Source organism: Homo sapiens, chromosome 11 (genome assembly GCF_000001405.40).
Source record: "Homo sapiens chromosome 11, GRCh38.p14 Primary Assembly".
In the NCBI taxonomy this organism is placed as follows: domain Eukaryota; kingdom Metazoa; phylum Chordata; class Mammalia; order Primates; family Hominidae; genus Homo; species Homo sapiens.
In genome coordinates, this window is record NC_000011.10 from 102640812 (window position 1) to 102653743 (window position 12932).

At 39.4% G+C, this 12932-nt stretch overlaps 1 long non-coding RNA gene across 1 annotated transcript in view, besides 3 other annotated features; it reads left to right on the top strand.

Moving 5' to 3' along the window:
* The first annotated feature begins 312 nt into the window (after window positions 1–312).
* The window catches only part of MMP20-AS1 (MMP20 antisense RNA 1), a 46089-nt gene continuing 33469 nt past the window's right edge, over window positions 313–12932 (top strand). Inside the window, exon 1 of the long non-coding RNA NR_183620.1 lies at window positions 313–524. This is a non-coding gene — a long non-coding RNA (MMP20 antisense RNA 1). The remainder of the gene's footprint in view (window positions 525–12932) is intronic.
* Window positions 1697–1866: an enhancer, noted in NCBI's record as "experimental_18668 CRE fragment used in MPRA reporter constructs". NCBI's record gives its function as "activates a minimal promoter by MPRAs in K562 erythroleukemia cells, with activity observed for the introgressed 11:102513324 or rs11607177 variant allele {active_cell/tissue: K562}" and the evidence as "EXISTENCE:reporter gene assay evidence [ECO:0000049][PMID:34662402]".
* Window position 1782: a transcriptional cis regulatory region, noted in NCBI's record as "Neanderthal adaptively introgressed variant 11:102513324 (GRCh37/hg19 assembly coordinates) or rs11607177 in the experimental_18668 CRE". NCBI's record gives its function as "modulates activity of the experimental_18668 enhancer by MPRAs in K562 erythroleukemia cells {active_cell/tissue: K562}" and the evidence as "EXISTENCE:reporter gene assay evidence [ECO:0000049][PMID:34662402]".
* Window positions 6120–6289: an enhancer, noted in NCBI's record as "experimental_18672 CRE fragment used in MPRA reporter constructs". NCBI's record gives its function as "activates a minimal promoter by MPRAs in K562 erythroleukemia cells, with activity observed for both the introgressed and non-introgressed 11:102517747 variant alleles {active_cell/tissue: K562}" and the evidence as "EXISTENCE:reporter gene assay evidence [ECO:0000049][PMID:34662402]".

The window sequence follows — 12932 nt, forward strand, 5'->3', positions numbered from 1 at the left end:
CCCTCCCCTCCCTCCCTTCCTCCTTTCCTTTCTCTTTTCCCCGTTACCCTCACAGTTCCTGGAACATTGCTTAGGAGGTTTTTGCCAGCAGAAGTTGAATAAATGTCTGAATGAAAGTTTACAAATATCCCAGTTATTTATTCACTTAACGAAGGGCCACATGCCTGGATCCAATGCTGTTGTAGTAAACATTGACCCAGCCCTGTCCAGGTCACTAGGTGATCCGAGAGACAGTCGTTCAAAAGTGCAATTACAAAACAGGGGTCAAGGGTCATTGTTATGGGATTACTGGGACGTGAGAGAAGACTTCCTGAGCATGAGAGGATGGGCAGCCCTGAAGCAGGCAAAGGAAAAGTGGCACGGCAGGAAGCAAGTCAGATGAGGGGGCCTGGTTTGTGCGAGAACATGACAAACCAGTGTTCCTGAAGCCTAAAGGGAAGGTGAGACAAGGCAGAGGAGGCTGGCGGGGCCAGGTCACGGAGTCTCCTGTGCCACACTGAGAGTCTGGGCTTGAGCTTGTGGAGGTGAGAGATAAGCATTGAGTGGTTTTGACTTTTCTTGCATTTTTCACTTTAACTTCTTGACTTTTTCCTGTTGGTATTGACTTCCCTCTATTGCCTCCAGTGTCAAGAATAGAATCTTGGCTCTCCCTGAAAATGTGTATTCCTGAGAAATTGGAGTCCACAGGGAACAGAAAGAAGCTATCGGTGTATTTGCTACTGGGCTTTCCCTGGGGACGTGTGTGTTTCTTTTCAGTTCAGAGCTTATTTTCACTTTTTAAATGATCTATCGTCAACTTTATTTTTCTCTAATCAGGTGGAAAGTTTCTAGATTTTATTCTCATGTTTCATATTCCTTATTGCTGTTTTAAAAGAAAATTTCTGACTCTTCAATATGATTATTCTATTAGTAAAGTGAGAAGGCCGGGTGTGGTGGCTCACACCTGTAATCCCAGCACTTTGGGAGGCTGAGGTAGTGGATCACCTGAGGTCAGGAGTTTGAGACCAGCCTGACCAACATGATGAAACCCCCATCTCTACTAAATAAAAAAATTAGCCGGGCATGGTGGCGCATGCCTGTAATCCCAGCTACTTGGGAGGACCAGGCAGAAGAATTGCTTGAACCTGGAGGCGGAGGTTGCAGTGAGCCAAGATCGCGCCATTGCACTCAAGCCTGGGCAACAAGAGTGAAACTCTGTCTCAAAAATAAATAAATAAATAAAGTGAGAAAAACAATTATTCAAAGGCACTTATTTATTGTAATAGACAATTATATTTATTATAAAAGTGGCCTCTTCAAGAGCTACTGCAATAACAATGACAACTTCGACTTTAGCTAAAGTTATGTTCATTTACTCAATGAATTCTTTTTTCTTTCTTTCTTCTTGGAGATTGAATTTAAGGGAAATTTAATCCTAGCTAATGCTTTCATTTTTCATTTTGACATTGCTGTTGGCTTTGTTTTCCCTCAGAACTGATTGTCACATATCTTTATATTATAGTCTTTGTCTGTAACTTTTTTCACAGTTTTTTAAAATTTCTTTTTATTATTATTTATTTATTTATTTATTTTTTTGAGATGGAGTTTCACTCTTATTGCCTAGGTTGGAGTGCAATGGCACGATGTTGGCTCACTGCAACCTCCACCTCCTGGGTTCAAGTGATTCTCCTGCCTCAGCCTCCCGAGTAGTTGAGATTACAGGCACCCGCCACCATGCCTGGCTAATTTTTATATTTTAGTAGAGATGGGATTTCACCATGTTAGTCAGGCTGGTCTCGAACTCCTGACCTCAGGTGATCCACCCACCTCAGCCTCCCAAAGTACTGGGATTACAGGCGTGAGCCACTGCCCCCAGCCTCTTTTATTTCTTAAAATAGGTGTTCCTGTTTTTTTTTTTTGAGCATTGAATTTTTTAAAAAGCATTCTTGTATGTGTAATTTAAAATTCAGTGTCCCCCTCTGTCACCCCTAAATTTTATTAAAAAGGAACACTTAAAAAGTAAAATGAGAAAGAAAGGGCACCCTGAGTGATTTCTATTTAATGTGGTTTCATATATTAGTTAAAATATATGATTTTAATTAGGAAGCAAACTCAGCTGTGCTTTCAGATTATTAAGCAATATTAATTTTTTCCCTCCAGAAAGCCTTTCAGATGTTAGTCATTGATTTATGATCATGGGATGTAGCTTCTTTGTCTGCAAATAACCAGTTGGCTTTAGTGTCTTTTGGTAGGAAGAGCAGAGGTTAGGGTCATCTATAGGCAAATAAGGATGGTCACCTTGTGGGTTTTCCAAGTCCCAAGGTCAAGCTGGCAGTGCTGGGCATGACATAATTGCTGGTGGAGCTAAAATGATCTGAAGCATTTGCATTTGTTGCACCCCCAAGACCATCATCACCAAATCTAGTCAAAGTCATTCTGTACTTCTACAGACCATCCTGAAAAAGTGGCAAGTTGTCTCTTTACAATTTCTTTCTTTCTCCTATGTGTTCATCTTACCCCGATTTCATCTGAATGAAGTGGCAGCGGCAGTGGTGAGCTACACCTCCTAAGGGCTGACTTTTACTAGGGTATTTAGTATCTTCTGACCCTTTTGATCCCTTGAATGGTGAGGCCACACTTTGGCTTATACTGCAAAATAATCCAACAGCCAGGCTGGTGGCCCTTACGGAGTTACACTCCAACTTCTGGGCTCAGAGCCTTGTTCTTTCTTTTATCTGGCATTATCAGCTATTGTAGTATTTTTGGCTCCTTAAGGCTAGCTTGATACAGTGTCATATTTTGATATGAAAGATAACAAGATATGATAGTACCACAAAGGGCAATGCTTAAGATTTGCAATGGATGTATTTTTCATTGTCTCCAATAAGAATTTTTCATTAGGTAGCATTTTCAGATAACTCCATTTTGATATTTATCTCTTTTATTTGGGCTATTTATTATGTCCCTCAAACTAGATTATGAGTTTTCTAAAGGCAGAAAGCATATTTCACTCACCTTTGATTCCCCATTCCTACAAGATCTAATATGAATTACAGAGAGCTGTTCAGCAAATACTTGTTGCATCAATGGAATTACAGCAGTAACACATATATTGACCTGGAACCAGAATCATGTTCTGAATGCAGAAGTACGTACTTTCTTTTTCTTTCTTGAGAACGCTGGATCTTTTTTAAAATGTTAATTTGCAGTTTGAAGCTGTTTAGGTTAAAAAAAAAATACAAGAAGCAGCAGCAAAAGAGACCAAGTAGGCACTTTTGGATACTATAATTACATATGAGGCTTGTTTTTATTATAGTTCTTCAGGCTTAATCATGCTTTTGATTCCATGAAATGTCATAGAACCACAAGACGGAGAAGGTCTCAAAAGACCTCTTAGTCTCTGTGTCTAAAGAGACATGAGTTTAAACTTCTGCAAGCATTTGCTTACCCTATAGTTTTCTTTTAAAATATCAAAGAAAAAAAGGACACGTCAAGGTCCAAACCATTTTTAAATAAATACTTTGTTTAATGCCTTTTTCACCTATGGTTTAACCATCAGATATGACTTTTTATTTCAGTTCCTTCTTTTCTTGCCAATTATGGGAGATTTTTTTTCTCTGATCTCTTTCTTTTTTTCTGTACAAATTTTTATTGTGTACATTTGAGGTTTACAACGTGGTATTACGTGATACGTATAGATAGTAAAATACGTACGGCCAGGCGCAATGGCTCACGCCTGTAATCCCAGCACTTTGGGAGGCCGAGGTGGGAGGACCACGAGGTCAGGAGATCGAGACCATCCTGGCTAACACGGCGAAACCCCGTCTCTACTAAAAAAAATACAAAAAATCAGCCAGGTGTGGTGGCGGGCGCCTGTAGTCGCAGCTATTCGGGAGGCTGAGGCAGGAGAATCACTTGAACCGGGAGGCAGAGCTTGCAGTGAGCCGAGATAGCACCACTGCAGTCCGGCCTGGGCGAAAGAGCAAGACTCTGTCTCAAAAAAAAAAAAAAACCAAAAAAAAAAAAACAAAAAAACTTACTATAGTAAAGTAGATTAACACACCTATCATTTAACAGTTACTTTTTTGCGTGACAATAACAGCTGAAATCTACTTATTTAACCAAAATCCCCAATACAATACAATTTCATTTTATTTCTTATTTATTATAATTATAATTATAATTATATTTGAAATGGAGTCTTGCTCCTGTCACCCAGGCTGGAGTGCAACGGCGCCATCTTGGCTCACTGCAACCTCCGCCTCCCGGGTTCAAGAGATTCTCCTGCCTCAACCTCTCGAGTAGTTGGGATTACAGGTGCCTGCCACCACGCCCAGCTAATTTTTTGTATTTTTAGTAGAGACGGGGTTTTAGCATGTTGGCCAGGCTGGTCTCAAACTCCAGACCTCAGGAGATCCACCTGCCTCGGCCTCCCAAAGTGCTGGGATTACAGGCATGAGCCACCGCGCCCGGCCACAATTTTATTAACTGTAGTTCACATATTGTACCTTAGATCTCAAGACCTGTTTATCTTACATATCTACTATTTTTTATCCTTTTACCTACATTTCCCAATTTCCTACCTTGCTACTCTCATGGAAACTACTGTTTCATTCTCTATCTCTGTGTATTTGAGCTTTTTTTTTTTTTTAATTCCACATATAAGTGAGATCATGTAATATTTTTATTTCTATGTCTGGCTTATTTCACTTAGCATAACATCCTTCTGTCTTCCTGGTCCATCCATGTTGTGGCAAGTGGCAGGATCTCTGTTTTAAAGCCTAAACAATATTCTACTGTACACACACACACACACACATACCCCACCACCACATTTTCTTTATCTACTCATCCATCTATGGGCATTTAGGTTGTTTCCATATCTTAGCTATTGTTAATAATGCATCAGTGAACCTGGGAGTGCAGATATCTTTATGAAGTGGTGATTTTGTCTCCTTTGGGGATATACCCAGAAGAGGAATTTCTGGGTCTTATGGTACTCTATTTTTAATTATTTTTGGAATCTCCATACTGTTTTCCATAATGACTGTACCAATCTACATTTCTAACAACTTTGTACAATGGTTCTCTTCACTGTATACCCTTGTCAACATTTGTTATTTCTTGACTTTTTGATAATAGTCATCCAAACAGGTGCGAGGTGATAGCTCATTGTGGTTTTAATTTGCATTTCCCTGATAGTTAGTGATGTTGAGAACATTTTCATATACCTGTTGGCCATTTTTATGTCTTTTTTTTTGGAGAAATATCTATTCAGCTCCTTTTCCCATTTTAAAAATCAGATTATTTGCTTTTCTGCTATTAAGTTGTAAGAGTTCTTTATAAATTTTGGATATTAAGCCCTCCTCAGATATTTGGTTTGCAATTATTTTTTCCCAGCTCATAGTTGCCTTTTCATTTTGTTGTTTTCTTTGCTGTGTATAAACTTTTTAGTTTGATATTTATTAATTTTGTTTTTGTGGTAAAAGCTTTTGGTGTGTTATCCAAAAAATATCATCACCAAGACCAATGTTAAGGAGGTTTTCTTCTATGTTCTCATCTAGGAATTTTATAATTTCAGGTCTTACATTTTTGGTCTCATATCCATTTGGAGTTTCTTTTTGTATACGGTGTAAGTTAAGGGTCTAATTTTATTCTTTTGCGTGTGTAAATCCAGTTTTCCTATTGAAGAAACTATCTGTTCCTTATTCTGTCTTCTTGGTATTCTCGTCCAAATTTAGTTGACCGTATCTATTTAGATTTATTTCTGGGCTCTCTATCCTGCTCCATTGGCCTATGTTTCTGCTTCTATGCCAGCACTATACTTTTTCCCTTCCCCCCTTTTTTTTGGGGGGTTGTTGTTGTTGTTGAGACAGGGTCTCACTCTGTCACCCAGGCTGGAGTGCAGTGGCACGAACATGACTCACTGCAGCCTCTACCTCGCAGGCTTAAGGGATCCTCCCATCTCAGCTTCCTGAGTAGCTAGGACCACAGGTATGTGCCACCACTCCCGGTTAATTTTTGTATTTCTTGTAGAGATGAGGTTTTGCTGTGTTGCCCAGGCCAGTCTCAAACTCCTGAGCTCAAGCAATCCTCCCGCCTCAGCCTCTCGAAGTACTGAGATTACAGGTGTGACCTATCACACCCAGCACTTTTTTGCTTACTATTGCTTTGCTATATAATTTCAAACCAGGAAGTATGATACCTCCAACTTTGCTTTTGTTTCGTAGTACTGCTTTGGCTATTTGGATTTTTTTTGTATGTGGTTCCGTACAAATTTTAGGATTGTTTTTTCTATTTCTGTGAAAAAAGCCATTGGAATTTTGGTAGGGGTTGCATTAAATCTGGGTATTGCTTTGGGTGGTATGGACATAAACAATCCGGTTTCTTTTCCGCTTGCATAAATCTTTTGGCTTTTCTTCTTCTCTTTTCAAATAGAACTTTAAACTCCTCACTTTTCTACTATGCAGAACAATTTAACAGACAGCACTTGTTTCTTGAGCATGCACCAGCAGGATATGGGGTGAGTCTTACCCTTGACCAGTAGTTATTAATCAAGACATCTATTCCAGGACAAATACGATGCTTTCCCTAACAGGGATTTGGGTGAATGAGATTTTTCTTCATCTCATTACGTTTTCACATATACTTCTAAATAAATGATTCCCTTCCTTTGTTCTTTCAACATAGTGCTTAATTTCCAGAAATACAACCTTGTTTCCTCTCTTTTTGGTTCTCTGCTCAGGTCAACACCCATCATCTAGTTTTAGACCCACAGCTGATTACATGGTTCTAAAATAAGCCAGACTGCTCCAGATTGTAGCATTTATAGGTTGTTGAAAGTGCTGGTGACTCAGTTCCTGGAGTTTGTCAAACACCACCACTGCCAACACAAGCTATGTTTTGCCATCATCTTCATTATTATTGTTGTCATCCTCATTATTTTTTGCTTTCCATTGGATTTCTAGGTTTCCCACTCTGCTTATTTTGTTCTACTAGTGAGCTGTTCTTTTTTTTTGGTACTCTTTAAAAGAATTCTAAAGGTTAAAATAGTGTATGTAATAGTTGCTTGATGGATTCACTTTGGCCGATTCAAGGCATATTGATCATATGAAGGCTGATCATTTGGTTGTGGACTTCTTGTCCTGCTGTCTTAAGAAAGACTTTTGAGGCCGGGCGCGGTGGCTCACACCTGTAATCCCAGCACTTTGGGAGGCCGAGGCGGGCGGATCACGAGGTCAGGAGATCGAGACCATCCTGGCTAACACGGTGAAACCCCGTCTCTACTAAAAATAAAAAAAATTAGCCGGGCGAGGGGGCGGGCGCCTGTAGTCCCAGCTACTCGGGAGGCTGAGGCAGGAGAATGGCGTGAACCCCAGGGGGCGGAGCCTGCAGTGAGCCGAGATTGCGCCACTGCACTCCAGCCTGGGCGACAGCGAGACTCCGTCTCAAAAAAAAAAAAAAAAAAAAAAAAAAAAGAAAGACTTTTGAAAAATGTGGTGATAGAAACACCTTGCAGCACGCTAAGGGAGCCATGCTATGGTCTGAATGTGCCCTCCCCAAATTCATGTGTTGAAACTTAATTGCCAATGTGATAGTATTAAGAGGTGGGGGTTTAAGTCATGAGGGCGGAGCCTTTGGGATTAGCATGTTTAAAAGAGGTGTGAGGGAACTGGTCACACTTTCTGCTACATGAGGATGCAATAAGAGGTGCCATCTTGGAGATAGAGAGCAGTTCTCACCAGACACTAAATCTGCTGGTGCCTTCATCTTGGACTTTCCAGCCTCCAGAACTGTGAGAACATAGATTTGGCATGGCCACTTTCCCCTTCCAACTCATCCATCGGGGAGTAGGTAACAATGTGTTATGGCTGCGGAGCTTTCTCCCTACAAAGGAAACACCAGGAATGACGAAGCAATCATTTCCCCCAACAGTCCTTTGCTTCTTTTTTTTTTTTTCTTTTTTTTAAAATTATATTTTCAATTGTTTTCAACTTTTATTTTAGGTTCATGGGGTACATGTGCAGGTTGTTATATGGGTAAATTGCATGTTGCAGGGATTTGGCGTACTAATAATTTTGTCACCCAGGTAATCAACATAGTACCCAATAGGTAGTTTTTAAATCCTCACCCTTCTCCCACTTTCTACCCTCAAGAAGGCCCTGGTGTCAATTGTTCCGTTGTTTGTGTCCATGTGTACTAAATGTTTACCTTCCACTTATTTTATTTATTTATTTATTTATTTATTTTATTTTCTTATTATTATACTTTAAGTTTTAGGGTACATGTGCACAACGTGCAGGTTTGTTACATATGTATACATGTGCCATGTTGGTGTGCTGCACTCATTAACTCGTCTTTTAGCATTAGATATATCTCCTAATGCTATCCCTTTCCCCTCCCCCCACCCCACAACAGTCCCCGGTGTGTGATGTTCCCCTTCCTGTGTCCATGTGTTCTCATTATTCAATTCCCACCTATGAGTGAGAACATGCGGTGTTTGGTTTTTGTCCTTGCGATAGTTTGCTGAGAATGATGGTTTCTAGCTTCATGTCCCTACAAAGGACATGAACTCATCATTTTTAATGGCTGCATAGTATTCCATGGTGTATATGTGCCACATTTTCTTAATCCAGTCTATCCTTGTTGGACATTTGGGTTGATTCCAAGTCTTTGCTATTGTGAATAGTGCCGCAATAAACATACGTGTGCATGTGTCTTTATAGCAGCATGATTTATAGTCCTTTGGGTATATACCCAGTAATGGGATGGTCGGGTCACATGGTATTTCTAGTTCTAGATCCCTGAGGAATCGCCACACTAACTTCCACAATGGTTGAACTAGTTTACCCTCCCATCAACACTGTAAAAGTGTTCCTATTTCTCCACATCCTCTCCAGCCCCTGTTGTTTCCTGACTTTTTAATGATCGCCATTCTAACTGGTGTGAGATGGTATCTCACTGTGGTTTTGATTTGCATTTCTCTGATGGCCAGTGATGGTGAGCATTTTTTCATGTGTTTTTTGGCTGCATAAATATCTTATTTTGAGAAGTGTCTGTTCATATCCTTCGCCCACTTTTTGATGGGGTTGTTTGTTTTTTTCTTGTAAATTTGTTTGAGTTCACTGCAGATTCTGGATATTAGCCCTTTGTCAGATGAGTAGGTTGCATAAATTTTCTCCCATTCTGTAGGTTGCCTGTTCACTCTGATGGTAGTTTCTTTTGCTGTGCAGAAGCTCTTTAGTTTAATTAGATACCATTTGTCAATTTTGGCTTTTGGTGTTTTAGACATGAAGTCGTTGCCCATACCTATGTCCTGAATGGTATTGCCTAGGTTTTCTTCTAGGATTTTTATGGTTTTAGGTCTAATATGTAAGTCTTTAATCCATCTTGAATTAATTTTTGTATAAGGTGTAAGGAAGGGATCCAGTTTCAGCTTTCTACATACGGCTAGCCAGTTTTCCCAACACCATTTATTAAATAGGGAATCCTTTCCCCATTGCATGTTTTTGTCAGGTTTGTCAAAGATCCGATAGTTGTAGATATGCAGCATTATTTCTGAGGGCTCTGTTCTGTTCCATTGGTCTATATCTCTGTTTTGGTACCAGTACCATGCTGTCTTGGTTACTGTAGCCTTGTAGTATAGTTTGAAGTCAGGTAGTGTGATGCCTCCAGCTTTGTTCTTTTGGCTTAGGATTGACCTGGCAATGCGGGCTCTTTTTTGGTTCCATATGAACTTTAAAGTAGTTTTTTACCTTCCACTTATAAGTGAGAATATGCAGTATTTGCTTTTCTGTTCCTGCTTTAATTCACTTAGGATAATGGCCTCCAGCTGCATCCATGGCACTGCACAGGACATGATCTCATTCTTTTTTTTATGGCTGTGTAGTATTCTATTGTGTATATGTACCACACTTTCTAAGTCCAGGTTGATTCCATGTCTTTGCTATTGTGAGTAGTGCTGCAATGGACGTACATGTGCGTGTGTCTTTATGGTAAAACAACTGATATTCCAGTAATGGGATTGCAAGATCGAATGGTAGCTCTGTTTTAAGTTCTTTGAGAAATCTCCAAACTGCTTTCCTGTGGCTGAACTAATTTACATTCCCACCAGCAGTGTATAAGCTTTCCTTTTTCTCCATGGCCTAATCAGCATCTGTTATATTTTAACTTTTTAATAATAGCCATTCTGAATGGTGTGAGGTGGTATCTCATTGTGGTTTTCATTTGCATTTCTCCAATGATTACTGATGTTAAGCATTTTTTCTTATACTTGTTGGCAGCATATATGTATTTTGAGATGTGTCCTTTGCCCATTTTTAATGGACTTATTTGTTTTTTGCTTGTTAATTCTGGATATTAGAACTTTAGTTCCTTATAGATTCTGGATATTAGACCTTTGTCAGATATGTAGTGTGCGAATATTTTTTCCCATTTTGTAGGTTGCTTGTTTACTCTGTGATAGTCTCTTTTGCTATGCAGAAACTCTTTAGTTTAATTAGGTCCCACTTCTCAATTTGTGTTTTTGTTGCAATTGTTTTTGGAGTCTTCATCATAAAATCTTTGCCAGGACCAATGGCCAGAATGGTATTTCCTAGGTTTTCTTTTAGGATTTTAATAGTTTTAGGTTTTACATTTACGCCTTTGATCCATCTTGAGTTGATTTTTGTATATAGTGAGAGGAAGTGGTCCAGTTTCAATCTTCTGCATATGACTAGCCAGTTATCCCAGCACCATTTATTGAATAGGGAGTCCTTTCCCCTTTGCTTGTTATTCTTGGCTTTGTCAAAGATCAGATGGTTGTAGGTGTGCAGATTTATTTCTAGGTTCTCTAACCTGTTCCGTTGGTCTAGGTGTCTTTTTTTTTTTATTTTTTTTTTTTTACAAGTACCATGCTATTTTAGTTACTGCAGACTTGTAGCATAGTTTAAAGTCATATAGTGTGATGTCTCTAGCTTTGTTCTTTTTGCTTAGGATTTCTCTAGTTATTCAGGATCTTTTTTGGTTCAAAATTATTTTTAGAATAGTTTTTCTAATTCTGTGAAGAAGAATGTCTTTGGTAGTTTGATAGGAATAGCATTAAATCTGTAAATTGCTTTGGGTAGTATGGCCATTTTAACAATATTGATTCTTCTTATCCATGAGCATGGAATGTTTTTCCGTTGGTTTGTGTCATCTCTGCTTTCTTTCAGCAGTGTTTTAAAATTCTTATTGTAGAGATCTTTCACCTCCCTGGTTAGCTGTATTCCTAGGTTCTTTATTCTTTTTGTGGCTATTGTGAATCGGATTGCATTCTTGATTTGGCTCTCAGCTTGGATGTTATTGGTGTATAGAAATACTACTGATTTTAGTATATTGGTCTTTTATCCTGAAACTTTGCCTAAGTTATTTATCTGATCTAAGAGACTTGGGCAGAGATTAGGGGATTCTCTAGGTAAAGAACCATATCATTAGTAAAGAGAGACAGTCTGACTTCCCGTCTTTCTATTTGGATGCCTTTTATTTCTTCCCCTTGCCTAATTGCTGTGGCTAGGACTTTTAGATCTCAAGTTTTGGTCAATCAATTCAGTGACTGGGACATTAACCCTGTGGTTAACCAACAGTGGGCTATCTATCCCCCTCATGGGAGGAGATCAGCAGGCTTTCACAAGGCCCTTGCCTCAGTCACAACCTCTGATCCTCTGGCTTTGATCCTGGGACTATCGAGAGGCAATGTGAATTTTCGCCTCTACAAGGTTCTGAAATAAGTCAGAAATGTATGTTAATTAAACCAATTTTAAGTACCTTCTACATCCAAAGCTAAGAAAATCTATTATTCTATTTCCCTTCCTAAATTATCCGCTATACTCCCAATTGTGGCTTATCTGAAAATGATTTCCCAAGAGAAGAAACCCTCCAGTGGATATTCCACCCTTGGTTTAGGCTTGGTGTGACTTATTATTATGATGCACCAACAATTCTGAATAATGTCAACGATTGAAAACACTCTTCACCATGGAGAGGACACCTCTTACTGCTTTGCTCTTTGTTTAGTTAGTCAGTGTTGTCAGAAGTTCTACAGTGAGATCAAGTGATATCATAAAATGCTCCAAAATGAAGTGCATGGAGACCCTGTAGTAGTAAAAGGCCTGGCAAGATAGAGATGTTCCACATTTGGGTATAAGCCTCCTCCCATCATCAAATTCCCAGAGAGGAATTAAGGCCTGAAGATTAAATCCCCTTGCAAGCTAAAGTTAAAAGACATGAAAGCTCCAGGGAATCGAATCCCCTCAGTAATTTAAATTCTCCTACTCCTGTGAGTTAAAAATCTAAAGACATGAAAGTGCCCTCCTCAGTTTCTTTTTCTGCTCAGTCTCATTGAGAGGGTGGGGTGGGCTCCTGTGGCACCTATAGCTTGGGATTCCTCTCCCTGGGAGGAGTATGGGTCCTTCATGGACTCCAGAATTGTTCTGAAGCAACAATTTTGGTGTTTCATCTTAATATGCTGCACACATTTGTCAGTACTGGCCATATTCACCAAATTAAAAAAAAAATCAATTTTCAGGCTCTAGAGCAGTTATCCCAGGGACAGTTATTTCCCTAGAACCCAGTATTTTATGTTACCAAATACTCTAAGTTTCCTGAGTGAAAAGTAGAAAAAGAAAGCCTTCTTTGTTTTAATGTCTCTAAGACACAAGAAGGTCAATGTCAAGCTTCCAGAATCCTCTTAACAATGCATGCTGTGAGCCAAAGCTGAGTAGGGAGAAATCTCCAAGAGAAACTAATATGACCTTGCATATCTACCATACCTGAAAGGAATATTCACCTGTACATCCATTCTCATTTCCAACAGAATATCATTTGAGGCCAGGTGCGGTAGCTTACACCTGTAATGCTAGCACTTTGGGAGGCCAAGAGGGTGGATCATGAAGTCAAGAGATCAAGACCATCATGGCCAACATGGTGAAACCTCG